This window comes from Homo sapiens, chromosome 12 (assembly GCF_000001405.40).
Source record: "Homo sapiens chromosome 12, GRCh38.p14 Primary Assembly".
Lineage (NCBI taxonomy): Eukaryota > Metazoa > Chordata > Mammalia > Primates > Hominidae > Homo > Homo sapiens.
Window position 1 is genome coordinate 390,002 of NC_000012.12, and position 17,335 is coordinate 407,336.

The following is a 17,335-nucleotide window of genomic DNA, read 5'->3' on the forward strand; positions in this document are numbered from 1 at the left end:
GTATCGTCTAGCTACCTGCAGGACATCTCACTTTGATAACTCAAAGTACTTTAATTGTTCACTGTTTCTTCAGTGTTCCTGGTTTCCATTAATGACTTCATCTATTCAGTTGCCTGAGCAAAAAAAAAAAAAAAAAAAAAAAATCAAGAAATAATCCTAATTCTTTCTGCTCTCACTTCCCATGTATAATCGTGTGTCTCTCCATCCCCGTTACCAGTATCCTAATTTAAATACTCTTACTGACAACAGCTGATTTCTCCTCTCAAATCCCTCTCCATCCACACGTTGGATTGCTTTGTCTAAAATCCAGAATTCATCTTGTCACTTTTCATCTCCAAACTCAACAACTCCAAACATCTTTTTTAATTGCTGATTTGCTGCTTTGCTCTCCAGCTTCATCTCTCCTGCTTCTCCATATGATCTACAGAAGTTTTTGTGGTGACTTTAGTACACCATGATTTTTCTCACCTCTGAGTAACAAATCAGGGGACTTTGAATAACGCAGATTGCCCTCCATAATGTGAGTAGGCCTTATCCAATCAACTGAAGGCCTGAATAGAACAAAAGACTGACCTTCCATGAGCAAGAAGGAATTTTGCCAGTAGATGGCTCTCAGACTTGAACTGTAGCATCACCTTTTCCCTGGCCTCCAGCCTGCCAACCCACCCTGCAGATTTTGGACTTGGAAGCTCTATAATCAAGTGAGTCAAGTCCTTAAAATAAATATCTTTATAAACACACACACACACACACACACACATCTTATTGGTTCTGTTTCTCTGGAGAACCGTGAATACATCTAGGGTTGGAGGGTTCAAGATGGCCTCACTTACGTGTCTGGCAGTTGGTGCTGGCTATTGGCTGGGAAGTCTTAGTTCTCCACATGGCTTCTCATCTTCTGGTAGATGGAGCTTTTCCACTGCATGGTGGTCTTAGCATTCTAAGAAGATGAGAGTGGAAGCAAAGACCTAAAGCCTAGACTCCAAAATGTACAAGATCACTCCATCATATTCTGTTGGTCAAAGCAAGTCATAAGACCATCCCAGATTCAAGAAGTGGGAAAATTCCAATTTTTTATGAGAAGAGTGACAATGTCACATTACAAAGGGGTGTAGACACAGGACGCTGTGATTCATAATAATTCCATACAATTATTATAATGATTTATGTCCAGGTGCAGTGGCTCACGCCTGTAATCCCAGCACTTTTTGAGGCCAAGGCGGGCAGATCACCTGAGGTCAGGAGTTTGAGACCAGCCTGGCCAACATGGTGAAATCCTGTCTCTATTAAAAATGTACAACAATTAGCCCAGGCGTGGTGGCAGGCGCCTGTAATCCCAGCTATCCAGGAGGCTGAGGCAGGAGAATTGCTTGAACCCAGGAGGTGGAAGTTGTAGTAAGCCGAGATCGTGCCACTGTACTCCAGCCTAGGCAAGAAGAGTGAGACTCTGTCTCCAAAAAAAAAAAAATTTACAACAAAGTCTTTGATTTTTACCACTTAAATCTGGAAAACTATATTATTCGGAAAAAGAAATAATGGAATTCCGAATAAAACAAGCCACTGATAATTCATTTTATTAAACATTCAATTAAATGTAATGGTTTTGCTTTCAAATTAACAGAGCGTGAGAACCTGATAGAACCTCAGTATAAGCACAAATCCTTAAAAGCTTTGATTGGTCCTATTTATTTCCTGTTATTTTCTTCAGATTATACTTACCTATTTTATTTTAAACTGTCTCTCTAGTAGAATAGAAAATGTATAATGATTCTCAATCATTTTTATTTGCCACAGTACTTCTGAGAAATCTGTAGTGGTTGCTTACAACAGCAGGAAGTCTGTAAGAGAAGACAGTGAATAGAAGGGCAGCAAATATTAACATCTCTGGTGCGAACAGAAGAAACTTCTGTAGTTACAACCACCTCACATTCTGATGCTTCCCTCAGGGGGGGCACATGAACCCCACTCCCACCTCTCATGCTTACCCCTTTGAAAATCACTGTTGTAAAAATCCAAATTGTGTTTCATCAGCTTCTATGAGGGCATTCTGCACACACAATGTTAAACTGAGTCAATAGTATTTGGGTTTCTGGTCAGAACAGTGGAGTATAACTGTAGTTTAAAAGGATCATTTGCATTACTTAAACAATCCTTGACAGTAACTTTTCAGAAAAAAAAAAATTAGAGTATTATTTATCTGAAATTTATTATCCTGAGTGTTAAAATAGACTAAAATGAATACTTAGATCTGATAATCATTTGGCTAGACCGTGGTCCCTGGATTTTTAAAAAATGCAATAAAACCTCACAAAATCAGATTAATTAGGGTTAGTTTCAGAGAGGGAAAAGTCAAAATTACTGAATTCTTAAACAAATGTCATTTTAATTCAAGAATAATTTCCACCAGTGATTCTCAAACTGTTTTGGTGTCAGGACGCCTTTACTCTTAAAAATTATTGAGGCCAGGCACGGTGGCTCATACCTGTAATCCCAGCACTTTGGGAGGCCGAGGCGGGCAGATCACTTGAGGTTAGGAGTTCGAGACCAGCCTGGCCAACATGGAGAAACCGCATCTCTACTAAAAAATACAAAACTTAGCCGGGCGTAGTGGTGGGCACCTGTAATCCCAGCTACTTAGGAGGCTGAGGCAGGAGAATCGCTTGAACCTGGGTGGCGGAGGTTGCAGTGAGCCAAGATGGTGCCACTGTACTCCAGCCTGGGCAACAGAGTAAGACTCTGTCTCACAAAAAAAAAAATTATTGAGAACCCCCAAAGTTCTTGTTTATATGCATAATACATATTGATGTTTACTATATTAGAAATTAAACCTAAGATGTTTAAAATATTTTATTCATTTCAATATAAAACTTTTATATTTAAATACATTTTAAAAATAATAACTATATTTTCCAAAACAAAAAAATCTGGTGAGAAGAGTGGCATTGGTTTACATTTTTTGTACTTTTTTTTTTAACATTTGGCTTAGCAGGATCGAGCTGGATTATCATATCTGTTTCTCCAACCCGTTACAATATGTTCTTTTGGTTGGAATATATGAAGAAAAACCAGCACCACACAAATATGTAGTTGGGAAAGGAAGAGCATTTTATTTATTTTTTAATTTTTATTTTCTTAGACACAGGGTGTCACTCCGTTGCCCAGTTGGAGTGCAGTGGCACAACCCCAGCTTACTCCAACTCTTGGGCTCAGGCAATCCTCCTGCCTCAGCCTCCCAAGTAGCTAGGACCACAGGTGTGCATCGTTATGCCCAGCTAATTAAAAAAAATTTTTTTGTAGACATGGGATCTTGCTATGTTGCCCAGACTGATCTCAAACTCCTGGGCTCAGGGATCCTCCCACCTCGGCCCCCCAAAGTGCTGCGATTACAGGCATGAGCCACCATACGTAGTGCAGAGAAGCATTTTAATAACCTTCTCAGATGACTGTAATTTCTTAAAGGCTAACAATTTGGAATCTAAAACTTTATCAGTTAACTTTTTTACACTGTTACATTAAAATGGTAGTCAATCTTGTCCTTTTTTTTTTTTTGAGACAGAGTCTCGCCCTTCCCCCAGGCTGGAGTGCAATGGTGCGATCTCAGCTCATTGCAACCTCTGCCTCCTGGGTTCAAGCAATTCTCCTGCCTCAGCCTCCTGAGTAGCTGCGATTACAGGCACCCACCACCACACTCAGCTAATTTTTGTATTTTTAGTAGAGACGGAGTTTTGCCATTTTGGCCAGGCTGGTCTCGAATTCCTGGCCTCAGGTGATCCACCTGCCTCGGCCTCCCAATGTGCTAGGATTACAGGCGTGAGCCACTGCGTCCAGCCAATCTTGTCCTTGAATGGACTTTTTTACCCAGTCATGCTTTTGTAACATCATGCATTGGTCATTTAGAAAATACTGGTTCACTGAGTTATACGGCTTTTCCTAATGTTGACATGTATTATTATATAATATCAAAAAAATTTACAAAAATATCACCATCAATTTATCAGGCAATTGGGAAGTTGTCAAACTCATGATGACAGAAACAAGTTTTCCAAAATTATAATTTTCACTTGAAAGCTCAAATTTTATTATTGCCAACAAATACCATTAGTTGTTTTCATTGAAGAGATTGACTCACTTTGTTCATTTTCAAGAAAAGATCTGCCGTATCTAAGTCTGAACAACCATAGTTTGTCTGTTAGTCCTTCTGGTGTTCTGTGAAAAAAGTGGCTAGTTGAGCTGGTATTATTTCCTCGAGAAAACCCTCTGTATGCAACTGAGTGCGTTATGTGTTCTTCTTACTTCATCGCACAGACAAAAGACATATTTAAAGGTCCAGATTTATCACAGTTAATAATTTTTACTCCTTTATGAAGGGCATTCTTAAATGACACTGGCTTTCCCCAGTGAAATCTATGTAATGAAGGCAAAGACTCCAAGTATGGTTTGGTGTCACTACCATGATTCATGCTGAGGGACCAGCGTTTTACCCACTGTTGCTTTTGTACCATCCATGCAAATGTCAAAGTGAACATGGCAAATAGCATCTTAGTATTACCACGGTCAATGCTGCTCTTGTTTAGGCCCTTTCTCTCATACGAATTTCCACTGTGGCATTCCAATGACCTTCAAGCATTGTTCTTGTTTGATCCTTTGCCACCAGTGTGATTTTTAAAAATTATCTATTTGATGTTGTGTGATTGCGAGAGAGTGATGAATTGGAGAATGACTCTTTGGCATTGTAATGAATGATGATGCATTAATTTAGATATAGAATGGAAGAAAAGCAATCTAATGGGGGGAGGCAGCACACCTGTAGGGAGGAGGATTATACATGCATTCAACATTTATTCCACATCTCTATGTGCCAGGCACTCTTCCAGATGCTGGATATATGACAGTGAACAACAAAAAAAGACAAAGTATCGGCTCTCATACAGCTCACTAGTAGAAAGGGAAGACAAAAGAATAAGCACAAGCTAATAAATATATACTATTTTAGTGATGATAAGATTTTTTTAAAGTGGAGAAAGTAAGGGGGCTTGGGTGATCATCAAAGGGCTCACAGATTGGTGACATTTGTTTTTTGTTCTTAGTTTTCTGAGGCACGGTTTCATTCTGTCTCACTTAGGTTGGAGTGCAATGGCATTATCTTGGCTCACTGTAACCTCAAACTTCTGGGCTGAAGCGATCCTCCTCCCTCAGCCTCCTGAGTAGCTAGGACTACAGGTGTGTGCCACCACGTCTGGGTAATTTTGTTTTATTTTTCTATTTTCTATAGAGAGAGGGTCTGGCTGTATTTCCCAGGTTGGTTTCAAACTACTAAGCTCAAGCAATCCTATTGCCTTGGCCTCCCGAAGTGCTGGAATTACAGGCATGAGCCACTGCACCCAGCCAGATTGGTGACATTTGAATAGAGGCTACTTTATAAAAATAAAAGGACAAATTGCTAAATGAATATCCAATCAGGAGGGATTACAGCTAGCCTTCCATATATGTGGGTTCCTCATTTAGAGAGTCCGTATCTACGAACCCAACCAACTACAGAAAATATTTGGAAAAAAAAACAATAAAAATAATAATAAATAATAAAAATAATACAGATTAAAAAACAGTACAGGCCGAGTGTGCTGGCTCACGCCTGTAATCCCAGAACTCTGGGAGGCCGAGGTGGGTAGATTGCTTGAGGTCAGGAGTTCGACACCAGAGTGGCCAACATGGCGAAGCCCCATCTCTACTAAAAATACAAAAATTGGCTGGGCGTCGTGGTGCATGCCTGTAGTCCCAGCCACTTGGGAGGCTAAGGCAAGAGAATCGCTTGAACTCAGAAGGCAGAGGTTGCAGTGGGCTGAGATCACACTACTGCACTCCAGCCTGGGCGACAGAGTGAGACTCTGTCTCAAAATAAATAAATAAATAAAAAATATAAAACAATACAGTAAATCAAGTGCAGTGGCATGCATCTGTAATCCCAGCTATTCAGGAGGTTGAGTCAGGAGGATTGCTTGAGCCCAGGGGTTTGAGTCCAGTCTGAGCAACACAGCAAGACCTTGTCTCTAAAAAATAAAAAATAAAAGAAAATAAATACATTTTGAAATTTAAAAAAGTCAATACACTGGCCAGGCGAGGTGGCTCACGCCTATAATCCCAGCACTTTGGGAGGCCAAGGCGGGCAGATCACCTGAGGTCAGGAGTTCGAGACCAGCCTGGCCAACATGGTGAAACCCCATCTCTACTAAAAATACAAAAATTAGCCAGGTGTGGTGGTGGGTGCCTGTAATCCCAGCTACTTGGGAGGCTGAGCCCAGAGAATCGCTTGAACCTGGGAGGCGGAGGTGGCAGTGAGCTGAGATTATGCCACTGCACTCCAGCCTGCGGGACAGAGCAAGACTCCCTCTTGAAAAAATAAATAAATAAAAAAGGAAAAGGAAGAAAAACAACTGTTTAAATTGTATTAGGTATTATAAGTAATCTATAGATGTTTTGAAGTATACGGGAGGGTGTGCATAGGTCATATGCAAATAATATGCCATTTATGTAAGGGACTTGAGCATCTATGCCTTTTGGTACCCAGGAATTGCCTGGCACCAATCCCTAGCAGATACTGAGCAAGGGACAACTGTATTTCCAATTAGGGAGATAAGTCAAGATTTTACAAAAGTGGTAGTATTTGAGTTGGCTCTCGTAAGAATTTTGAGTGAAGATGCACTGAAAGGGCCAATCCAGATAAAAGGAAGAGTGTGAACTGAAGCTGGAAAGTGCGTCCTGTGTTCAGGAGATGACCACATCAATTTCTTCTAATAGAGACAAATGGGGTCAGATAGCTGCAGTCTTTGAATGCCATACTACTGTCTGAACTTCATTCTCTAGTCTGTGGGGAGTCATCAAAGTTTATAAGCAGGAGTGTGACAGACCCGGAATTGAATTTTTTGGAGACAGAGTCTCGCTCTGTCACCCAGGCTGGAGTGCAACAGCGTGATCTCAGCTCACTGCAACCTCCACTTCCTGAGTTCAAGCAATTCGCCTGCCTCAGCCTCCTGAGTAGCTGGGATTACAGGCATGTGCCACATGTAACCACACCCAGCTAATTTTTGTATTTTTACTAGAGATGGGGCTCATGCCTGTAATCCCACCACTTTGGGAGGCTGAGGCGGGTGGATCACGAGGTCAGGAGTTCAAGACCAGCCTGGACAAAAATCACCTTTTATAGAATGGATTGGAGGCAAGAACACCCAGTTAGAAGCCTATGGTAATAGACCAAGTGAAAGGTAATAAGACACATAGTGGAAATAAATAGGAAGATATATATGAAGACAGGCTCACCATGACTTGATTTTTTAAAAATTGCAGGGGCTAAAAGAAAGGAAATAGACAAAAGATACCGAGCCGAGATGTTTGGGAAGATATTAATGTAATTAACAGAGAAAATCACAAGGGAGAAAAAAGCAGGTTTGGGAGTACAGGCATAACTTGGAGATATTGCAGGTTCAGTTCCAGACCACCATAATAAAGTGAATATCACCATAAAGCAAATTGCTCGAAATTTTCGGTTTCCTGGTACATAAAAAAAGCTATGTGTTTACACGATACTGTAGTCTAGTGCATTATTTCTAGTTTGCATTATTTCTTTAAAAAAATTTACATGCCTTAATTTAAAATGCTTTTTTTTTTTGAGACAGAGTCTTGCTCTGTCACCCAGGCTGGAGTGCAGTGGCGCGATCTCAGCTCACTGCAGCCTCTGCCTCCTGGGTTCAAGTGATTCTCCTGCCTCAGCCTCCCGAGCAGCTGGGACTACAGGCGCCCGCCACCACGCCCGGCTAATTTTTTGTATTTTTAGTAGAGATGGGGTTTCACTGTCTTAGCCAGGATGGTCTCCATCTCCTGACCTCGTGATCCGCCCGTCTCAGCCTCCTGCAGTGCTGGGATTACAGGCGTGAGCCACCGCGACTGGCCTTAAAATACTTTATTCTAAAAATGCTAATGATCGTCTAAGCCAAGTCATAATATTTTCACTGATGGAGGGTCTAGCCTTGATGTTGGGGGCTGCTGACTGATCATGGTGCTGATTGCTAAAGGCTGGGGTGGCTGTGGCAATTTCTTAAAATAAGACAACAATGAAGTTGTTTTCATTCTTCCTTTCATGATATTGATTGATTCTTCCTTTCATGAAAGATTTCTCTGTAGCATGCAATGCTGTTTGATAGCATTTTACCCATAGTAGAACTTCTTTCAAAGTTGAAGTCAATCCTCAAACCCTGCAACTGCTTTATCGACTAAGTTTATGGAATATTCTAAACCCTTTGTTGTCATTTTGGCAATGTTCACAGCATCTTCACCAGGAGTAGATTCCAGCTAAAGAAACCACTTTCTTTACTTATTCATAAGAAGCAACTCTTCATCCATAGTTTCATCATGAGATTGCAGCAATTCAGTCACATCTTCAGGTTCCACTTTTTTTTTTTTTTGAGACAGAATCTTGCTCTGTTGCCCAGGCTGGACTGCAGTGGCGCGATCTGGGCTCACTGCAACCTCTGCCTCCCGGGTTCAAGCGATTCTCCTGCCTCAGCCTCCCAAGGCTCCACTTCTAATTCTAGTTCTCTTGCTACTTCCACAGCATCTGCAGTTATTTCGTCCATGAAGTCTTGAACCCCCTCAAAGACATCCAAGAGGATTGGAATTAACTTCTTCCAAACTCCTGTTATTATTGATATTGACCTCCTCCCATAAGTCACAAATGTTCTTTTTAAAATTTTTTTATTAAATATATTTTTACTTTTTTTTTTTTGAGACACAGTCTTGCTCTGTCACTCAGGCTGGACTGCAGTGGCACAATCTCGGCTCACTGCAACCTTGGTCTCCCAGGCTCAAGCAATCCTCCCACCTCAGCCTCCCAAGTAGCCAGGTGCATGCCACCACTCCTGGCTAGTTTTTGTATTTTTTTATAGAGACAAGGTTTTCTATGTTGCCCAGGCTTGTCATGCACTCCTGAGCTTAAGTGATCCACCCACGTTGGCCTTCCAAAGTGCTGGGTTTACAGGTGTGAGACATCTCACCAAGCCAAGTCACAAATGATCTTAAGGACATCTAGAATGGTGGTGAGTCCTTTCCAGAAGGTTTTCGATTTACTTTGCCCAGATCCACCAGAGAAATCACTATGTCTGGCAGCTATAGCCTTATGAAATATTTTTTTTTTTTTGAGGCGGAGTTTCACTCTTGTTGCCCAAGCTGGAGTGCAATGGCACGATCTCAGTTCACTGAAACCTCCGCCTCCCAGGTTCAAGTGATTCTCCTGCCTCAGCCTCCTGAGTAGCTGGGATTACAGGCATGCGCCATCATGGCCAGCTAATTTTGTATTTCTAGTAGAAACGGGGGTTTCTCCATGTTGGCCAGGCTGGTCTCGATCTCCTGACCTGGTGATCCGCCCACCTCAGCCTCCCAAAGTGCTGGGATTACAGATGTGAGCCACCGTGCCCGGCCTGAAATATATTTCTTAATAAGACCTGAAAGTCAAAATGACTCCTTGATCCATGAGCTGCAGAATGTCTGTTGTGTTTGCAAGCATGAAAGCAACATTCATCTGTTTGCATACCTCCACCAGAGCTCTTGGGTGACCAGTTGCATTGTGAGTGAGAAGTAATATTTTGAAAGAAATCCTTTTTTTCCTGAGCAGTAGGACTTAAAATAAAACATACATAAAACGGTGAACTTAAAATACTCAGTTAACCATGCTATAAACATATATGCTGTCATCCAGGTTTTGTTGTTCCATTTATAGAGCACAGGCAGACTATATCTAACATAATTCTTAAGGGCTCTAGGATTTCAGGGATGTAAATGGGCACTGGCTTCAACTTAAAGTCACCAGTTGCATTAGCCCCTAACATGAGAGTCAGTCTGTTCTTAGAAGCTGTGAAGCCAGGTATTGACTTCTCTCTAGCTACAAAAGTACTACTTGGCATCTCCTTCCAATAAAAGGCTGGTTCATATATATCAAAAGTCTGTAGTTTAGTTTAGCCACCTTAATCAATTACCTTAGTTAGCTCTTCTGAATAACTTGCTGCGGCATCTACATCAGCACTTGCTGCTTCCACCTTGCACTTTTAAGTAACGGAAATAGCTCCTTTCCTTAAACCTCACGAACCAGCCTCCGCTATCTTCCACCTTTTCTTCTGCAGCTTCCTCACCTGTCTCAGCCTTCATTTTATTGAAGAGTTAGGACTTTGCTCCAGATTAGGCTTTGGCTTCAGGGAATGCTGTGGCTGGTTTGATCTTCTATCCAGACCACTCAAACTTTCTCTATATCAGCAATGTCTGTTTCACTTTCTTATCATTTTTGTGTTTACTGGAGTAGCACTTTTAATTTCCTTCAAAAACTTTTCCTTTGCATGCACAACTTGGCTAACTTTGGTGCAAGAAGACTGGCTTTCATCCTGTCTTGGCTTTCAACATGCCTTTTTCACTGAGCTTAATCATTTTCAGCTTTTTATTTAAAGTAAGAGATGTGTGACTCTTCCTTTCACTTGAACCCCCACTGTAGGATTGTTAATTGGTCTAATTTCAATATTGTTGTATCACAGGAATAAGGAGGCAAGAAGAGAGGGAGAAAGGCAGGGAGACTGCTGGTCTGTGGAGCAGTTAAAACATCCACAACATTTATGAATTAAGTTTGCCATCTTATATGGGCATGGTTCATGGTGCCCCTAAACAATTATAATAGTAATATAAAGGATAACAGATCAGCATAACATATACAATAATTATGAAAAAGTTTGAAATATTGTGAAAATTACCAAATGTGGTGCAGAGACACATAGTAAGCCTGTGCTGTAGGAAAAATGGCGCAGATAGATTTGGTTCCATGCAGAGTTGCCACAAACCTTACATTTGTAAAAACAGTTACCTGGGAAGCGCAATAAAGGAAAGTGCGAGCCTGTAGCAGATGCACGTTCCATTTAGACATCCTTAGGACTCACACCAGCGAAGGGCCCCAGCTTTTCCATACCAGTAGCTGTAATTCTGAGACGAAAGTGCTTTTCCCCCACCTTTACACCTTGCTTTCTGGAAAGATAAGACCATAATGGATTTTGAACTTGCTTTTATCATTAAAGCCCAGTGTCTTACATTTCTCCGGAAAAGGAAGCAGTGTTTGCTATGGAACAAATAGTAGAATTTTAATACATAGTCCCCTGACCGTAGAAACTGAACCTCAGGTCCTATCCTGGCTCTAGGCCACCCGGTCATGGAAGAAGAAACTTTTCTTAGAATCTTTATCTCTTGAGACAAGCTTGGAAATTACAACATATATGTACCATGAACGCGAAGTACCTGAGCTCAAAGCAGTTGAGCAATCTTAAGTGGGGGTGCCCGAAAGTGGTGCGTTCTGACCCCAAACGTCACACTACCCGTCCCTGGAGGAGCGGGTTGCAGCCCAGCTGCGTCGCCCCGCGCAGAGCTCCAGGCAGAAGAAAACTACATTTCCCAGAGACCTCTGCGCGGTCGGGAGCACCGCGAGGAGGGGCGAGATGGGGGCGGGCCTCTGTGTGAAGGCCCTTCCCATTGGTGCGCATTCCAAAGGGCCATGTAAACTTCTTCGCGATTGCACGGATTCAGGGACGCTCAGTGGCGCCGCGCCGCTCCTTGGTTTGACTTTTGTTTTTCAGTTGCGTTCCCTGACTCGGAGTCTTAGTGTGTCGTGAGTATAGAGTTTCGGGTTTGGGGTGAAGGGGTTAGGTAAGAAGCCTTGGGAAGAAAATCTGGTTAGGGAGAAGTAACTGCGGAAGCAGTGCGGAGGAGAGGACGTGAGCCTGAATGTGGTGTCCGTGGAGGGGCTGGGGACCGGAGGAGGAAAGCTCCAATGTGCAAAGGGAGAGACCTCAGGAGTGCTGGAGCGTTGGGACCTGGAGCAGTGAGGCGGTCGAGAATGGGATGAAGTGGGAAAAGGAGTACGGGATTCGGGCGCCCTGGAGATGCGTTCCGGTGTACTCTAACCCCACGCTGGTCTAGCTCTCAGTTTCCTCATTTGTGAAATAAGGGATAGTGAAAATACTGAACGGTTGTTGGGATAATAAATTGTACAGATTTGTCACGTGGCTAAAAGAAAAAAATTCAAAGTGCTACACAAATGTTAATTGTTAGTAGACAAGCTATAAGAATATATCTAAGCAAGGGTATTGGAGATAGGTGCAGAGACCCTAGCTGAAACCCGTTAATTTACCTATAAACAAAGGCATTGTTCCTTTGGAAGAGGCAATGAAGAGTAAGACGCGATTTCTGTCTGTAGGGAGCGCACGCTAGCATGGGAGAAACGATAGCAATAAAGCACTCTAATATGTTGACTTGTAGATAATTTCAAAGGCAGTTCTTTTGCACTTAGATCATTTTTGCTAAATCATTTTGGATGGGGAGACTCAGGAAAGAGAAAAAGGAGGTGGTATTTAAGATGAGTTTTCATGTACAGACTAGATTTTGTTAAGTGAAATTATGAGGGTTGTGGAGGGAGTTGTGTTCCAGCTAGAGGGAAGCTCATGAACAAAGGTATGGAGGCAGGAAAGTTATCTGGAAACGGTACATTTAGGAGAGTAGAGAGAAATAAGGCAGGAAAGTTAGGTTTGGCCCTTATGTAGAAAGCCATGAATTCTAGGCTAACAAATTGGATTTAATGCTTTAGGCTATGAGGTGCTACTGATGTATTTTATTAAAGAAAATGGTCCAGGAGACGCAAGGAGTAGGTAGAACCGTTAAGGTGTTGTAATGGTGTGGGTAAGAAGTATTGAGACTCTGAATTAACATGGTCATTGTGGAGATAAAATATACAAGATATTCATATGGTTAGACAGGAGGTTCAGAAGAATGAGTGATCAAATGATGAATTTAAGTTGCCAACTCCCGGTTGCTTGGAAACGCTGAATTAGTAACTAAAATAGGAAAGTCAGAAGGGGCATGTTTGGATAAAAAGATGATGTGTTAGGTTTAGGAAATGTTAGCTTTGAGATGCTAAAAAAATACCTAACTTGAGTGATTTCTTTTTTAAGTTAAACGTTTCAAGTGCCAGTGGGACTATGGGTGAAAATGTCCACTACATTTTTGTTAATTCAAATCAAGAGGTTGAAAGAGATGTCGTTTATTTATTCAACATGTAATTGTTACTTACTGTATGCCATGTAGTGTTTTAGATGACAGAGTTAATAATAAAAACAGGAGGAATAATGATGTTCCCAAAGAAATGGTTAGAGGAAATGATAAAGAAACTTGAAGACAGAACCTCTGAGCCAAGGGAGTAAAATTGTCAATAATAATAATAGTCCACATTTACTGAGTGCTTATATATGTGTCAAACACTGTCCCTCGGCCTTATATCCGTACACCAACCTATGACATAGAAGTAACTGAAATTTAGAGAGGATAACTTGCCTGAGGTACACAGCTAATAAGAGGCAGGGCTTTGACTCAAACCCAAGTCTGATATCAGAGCCCACATTCTCAACTACAAAGCAATATTTATTTTTATTATTATTTTTTCCAGGTAAGGTCTCACTCTGTCACCTAGGCTGGAGAGCAGTGGGGCAATCTCAGCTCAGTGCAGCCTCTGCCTCCCAAGCTCAAGCAATCCTCTGCCTCAGCCTCCTGAATAGCTGGGACTACAGGCACGTGCCACCACTCCCAGCTAATTCTGTAATTTTTGTAGAGACAGGGTTTCACCATGTTGCCCAGGCTGGTCTCAAACTCCTGACCTCCAGCAGTCCATTCACCTTGGCCTCCCAAAGTGCTGGCATTACAGGCATGAGCCACTGTGCCCAGCCTATTTTAATTGTTTTTTGAGACAGGGTCTTGCGCTGTTGTCCAGGCTAGAGTGCAGTGGCACGATCACTGCTCGCTGCAGCCTTGAACCCTCAGGCTGAAGTGATCCTCGCACCAAGCAGGTGGGACTACATTGCCACTGTGCCCAGCTAATTTTTAAAATTTTGGTAAAGACAGGGTCTTGCCATGGCCTGGCCATGCCAAGGTCCGGTCCCAAAGTGATATATTTTTAAAGGGTAGTTGGCACTACCAGGCACAGTGGCTCACGCCTGTAATCCCAACACTGGCAGGCAGAGGTGGGTGGATCATCTGAGGTCAGGAGTTCGAGACCAGCCTGGCCAACATGGCGAAACCCTGTCTTTACTAAAAATACAAAAAAAATTAGCCACAGTGGCAGGTGCCTGTAATCCCAGCCACTGGGGAGGCTGAGGCAGGAGAATCACTTGAACCCAGGAGGTGGAGGTTGCAGTGAGCCAAGATCGTGCCACTGCACTCCAGCCTGGGCTGAACAGAGTGAGACTCTGTCTCAAAAAATAAATAAATAAATAGGTAGTTGGCACTATCTAATTAAGAATACAAGTGAAGGAGTAACTATTGGATGGAGGAGGATAGAAACAGAAAAGAGCAATTGAATTTATTAATTTGGATGTCTGCTGACCAATAAGAGCTTGGTTAGATGTCATAGTAGAAGCCCGAGGCCTGGCTCAGTGGCTCATGCCTGTAATCTCAGCACTTTGGAAGGCCAAGGGAGGAGGATTGTTTGAGTCCGGGAGTTCAAGGCCAGCCTGGGCAACATAGCAAGGCCCCGTCTTGCAGCCAGAGAGGTGAGTGTAGACAACTTTTCGTAGACATGTGCAACAGTGAGGACAGTCACTATGAAGGAGAAGAGGGATTGCAGGTTGTTAGAAGGGTCTTTCAAAGCTTCAAATTACTTTTTTTTTTTTTTTTTTGAGACGGAGTTTCGCTCTTGTTGCCCAGGCTGGAGTGTAATGGCGCGATCTTGGCTCACCACAACCTCCGCCTCCCAGGTTCAAGCAATTCTCCTGCCTCAGTCTCCTGAGTAGGTGGGATTATAGGGATGCACCACCATGCCCAGCTAACTTTGTATTTTTAGTAGAGATGGGGTTTCTCCAGGTTGGTCAGGCTGGTCTTGAATTCCTGACCTCAGGTGATCCGCCTTCCTCGGCCTCCCAAAGTGCTGGGATTACAGGCAGGAGCCACTGTGCCCAGCCGCTTCAAATTACTCTTAAATGGCTTTGAAACAGTGAAATTTAACTTTAAGTTGTCACCCATATCCGTACAATGGAATTTTATTCAGCCACAAAAAGGAATGAAGTACTGATACATGGTACCACATAGGTGAACCTTGAAAACATTATGCTAAGTGAAACAAGACAGTCACAAAAGACCATATACTATGTGATTCCATTTATAGGAAAGTCCAGAATAGGGAAATCTGTAGAGACAGTAGGTTAGTGGTTGCTTAGGACTGGGAGACAGGGATAATAGCTGAAGGACACAGGGTTTTTTTCTTGAAGTGACGAAACTTCTAGAATGGACTGTGCTGATAGGTACACGTATCTGTGAATATACTAAAAATCATTGAATTTACACTTTGAATGAGTTTAATGGTGTACACAAATTACATTCCATAAAGCTGCTTTTTTAAAAAAATGTTACCCATAATCCTTCCATGCCAATCCAATAACTTTATTTTCTAGGTTATTTGGACAAGAGGCACATTGACCCAATTTGGAGACGTATTTTGGAAGGAGGTGAGTTTGGAGGAGGAGAGTAGTCTTTTAAAGGAGAGAATTAGAAGAAAGATGGCGTATTTGAAGGGTTGGCTGTAGAAGAAAACAAATGGGATGAGAGAAGCAGAAACAGATTTTTAAATCTAGATTGAATAGACTGGCCAGCAGAAGAAAAGGATGTTTAACAGTCTTTCAAATTCATATTGAGAGTTGTATATATATACATATACACTTAGTATGAGCCAGGCACTGTTTATGTTACTAGGGATACAGCAGTGAACATAATAGATAAAAACCCGCTGCCTTTAGTGAGTTTGCATATTCCAGTGTGGAGAGACAGACATTAAATATTAGATGGTTATAAGTGTTCAACTTTTTTTTTTTTTTTTTTTTAAGAGAGGGTCTCACTCTGTCACCCCAGCTGGACTGCAATGGCGTGATCATGGCTCACTGCAGCCTTGATCCCCCGGTGCAGGCGATCCTCCTACCTCGGCCTCCTGTTTAACTAGGACTACAGACATGTGCCACCACATCTGGCTAATTTTTTGTAGAGACAGGGTTTTGCCATGTTGCCCAGGCTGGTCTCAAACTCCTGGACTCAAGCAGTCTATCCGCCTTGGCCTCCCAAAGTGCTGAGATTACAGGCGTGAGCCACTTCAACTAGCCAAGGTTGTAAGTGTTAATGGAGAAAAGTAAAACAGAGAAGAGGGATGAGGTTGGTAGAGTGGTCAGGGAAGACTTCATCAAGAAAGTGACATTTTAGCCCTGAAGGAGGAGAGGGAGTAAGCCACATAGATAAATGGGGAAAGAACATCATAGCAAAGAGAACTGTAGGTACGGGGACTCTGAAGTAGAAGTGTGCCTGGCACGTTTGAAGAACAGCCAAGAGGCCGGTGTTTTTACCGCAGTGAACAAGGATAAGAGTAGTAGGTGAGGTCACAGAAGTAATGAGGTTGGCCAGATCATACAGGACCTTGTCGGCAATTTTAAAGACCTTGACCCTCTGAGTAAGATGAAAAGTCATTGGAGGCTTTTGGGCAGAGGAGTTTTGTGTTTTGACACATATATATTAATGTGTTGAGAATACATTATAAGGGATGAGGTTGAAAATGGAACAGGGGGACCAGGCGTGGTGACTCATGCCTGTAATCCCAGCACTTTGGGAGGCCAAGGCAGGTGGATCACCTGAGGTCAGGAGTTCAAGACCAGCCTGGCCAACATGGTGAAACCCCGTCTCTACTAAAAATACAAAAATTAGCCAGGCTTGGTGGTATGTGCCTGTCTTCCCAGCCACTCGGGAGGCTGAGACAGGAGAATCACTTGAATCCTGGAGGCAGAGGTTGCAGTGAGCCGAGATTGCGCCATCGCACTCCAGCTTGGATGACACAGCAAGACTTTGTCTCACACACACAAAAGTGGAACGAGGAGACCAGTTAAGAGACCGTTGTCGTCATCTGGGCAACAGATAGCAGTGGGTTGGAAGCCAAGCGCAGTGACTCATGCCTATAATCCTATTACTTGTGTGGCTGAGGGGAGAGGATTGAGTGAAGCCAGGAGTTTGAGACAAGCCTAGGCAGCAAAGCAAGACCCTGTATCTAAAACAACAAAAGCAAAAACAGTGGACTGGACCAGGGCAATGAGGGCATAGGTGATAAGTAGTTGTCAGATTCTAGATATTTGGATGAGCTAGCCAGTAGGATTTGCTAATGGGTCGTGTGTGGCATGTAAGACAAAGAGAGGAGTAAAATTTCTTAAACCAAGTTTGTCTGTTTGTCATAAACAACTGGCAGCAT

At 42.5% G+C, this 17,335-nt stretch overlaps 1 protein-coding gene and 1 long non-coding RNA gene across 5 annotated transcripts in view, besides 3 other annotated features; one reads left to right on the plus strand and one right to left on the minus strand.

Moving 5' to 3' along the window:
* Nucleotides 1-17,335, plus strand: part of CCDC77 (coiled-coil domain containing 77) — a 53,296-nt gene that overhangs the window by 655 nt on the left and 35,306 nt on the right. For 2 of the 4 annotated variants that reach the window (NM_032358.4, NM_001130146.2), the window contains exons 1-2: nt 11,643-11,683; nt 15,510-15,563. The exons of 1 other annotated variant lie outside the window; for it this stretch is intronic. The gene's annotated coding sequence lies outside the window, so the exon portion shown is untranslated. Of the gene's footprint in view, nt 1-11,642; nt 11,684-15,509; nt 15,564-17,335 lie in introns of those variants that run through there. One more of the 4 variants, NM_001130147.2, reaches the window with a different exon arrangement.
* On the minus strand, nt 32-11,409 carry LOC105369594 (uncharacterized). Its single transcript, XR_007063149.1, has 4 exons — nt 11,317-11,409; nt 10,892-11,049; nt 1,720-1,838; nt 32-940 (listed from the first exon to the last, which is right to left on the minus strand). It is a non-coding gene; the product is annotated as an uncharacterized LOC105369594 (long non-coding RNA).
* Nucleotides 11,167-11,486: an enhancer, noted in NCBI's record as "active region_5778". NCBI's record gives its function as "activates an Ori minimal core promoter by ATAC-STARR-seq in GM12878 lymphoblastoid cells {active_cell/tissue: GM12878}" and the evidence as "EXISTENCE:reporter gene assay evidence [ECO:0000049][PMID:35858748]".
* Nucleotides 11,901-12,453: an enhancer, noted in NCBI's record as "H3K27ac hESC enhancer chr12:511068-511620 (GRCh37/hg19 assembly coordinates)". NCBI's record gives its function as "activates a minimal SCP1, AML or CMV promoter by ChIP-STARR-seq in primed H9 embryonic stem cells {active_cell/tissue: H9 hESC(primed)}" and the evidence as "EXISTENCE:reporter gene assay evidence [ECO:0000049][PMID:30033119]".
* Nucleotides 16,842-17,136: an enhancer, noted in NCBI's record as "tiled region #4380; HepG2 Activating non-DNase unmatched - State 14:Gen5', and K562 Activating DNase matched - State 5:Enh". NCBI's record gives its function as "activates a minimal TATA promoter and a strong SV40 promoter by Sharpr-MPRA in HepG2 and K562 cells {active_cell/tissue: HepG2 | K562}" and the evidence as "EXISTENCE:reporter gene assay evidence [ECO:0000049][PMID:27701403]".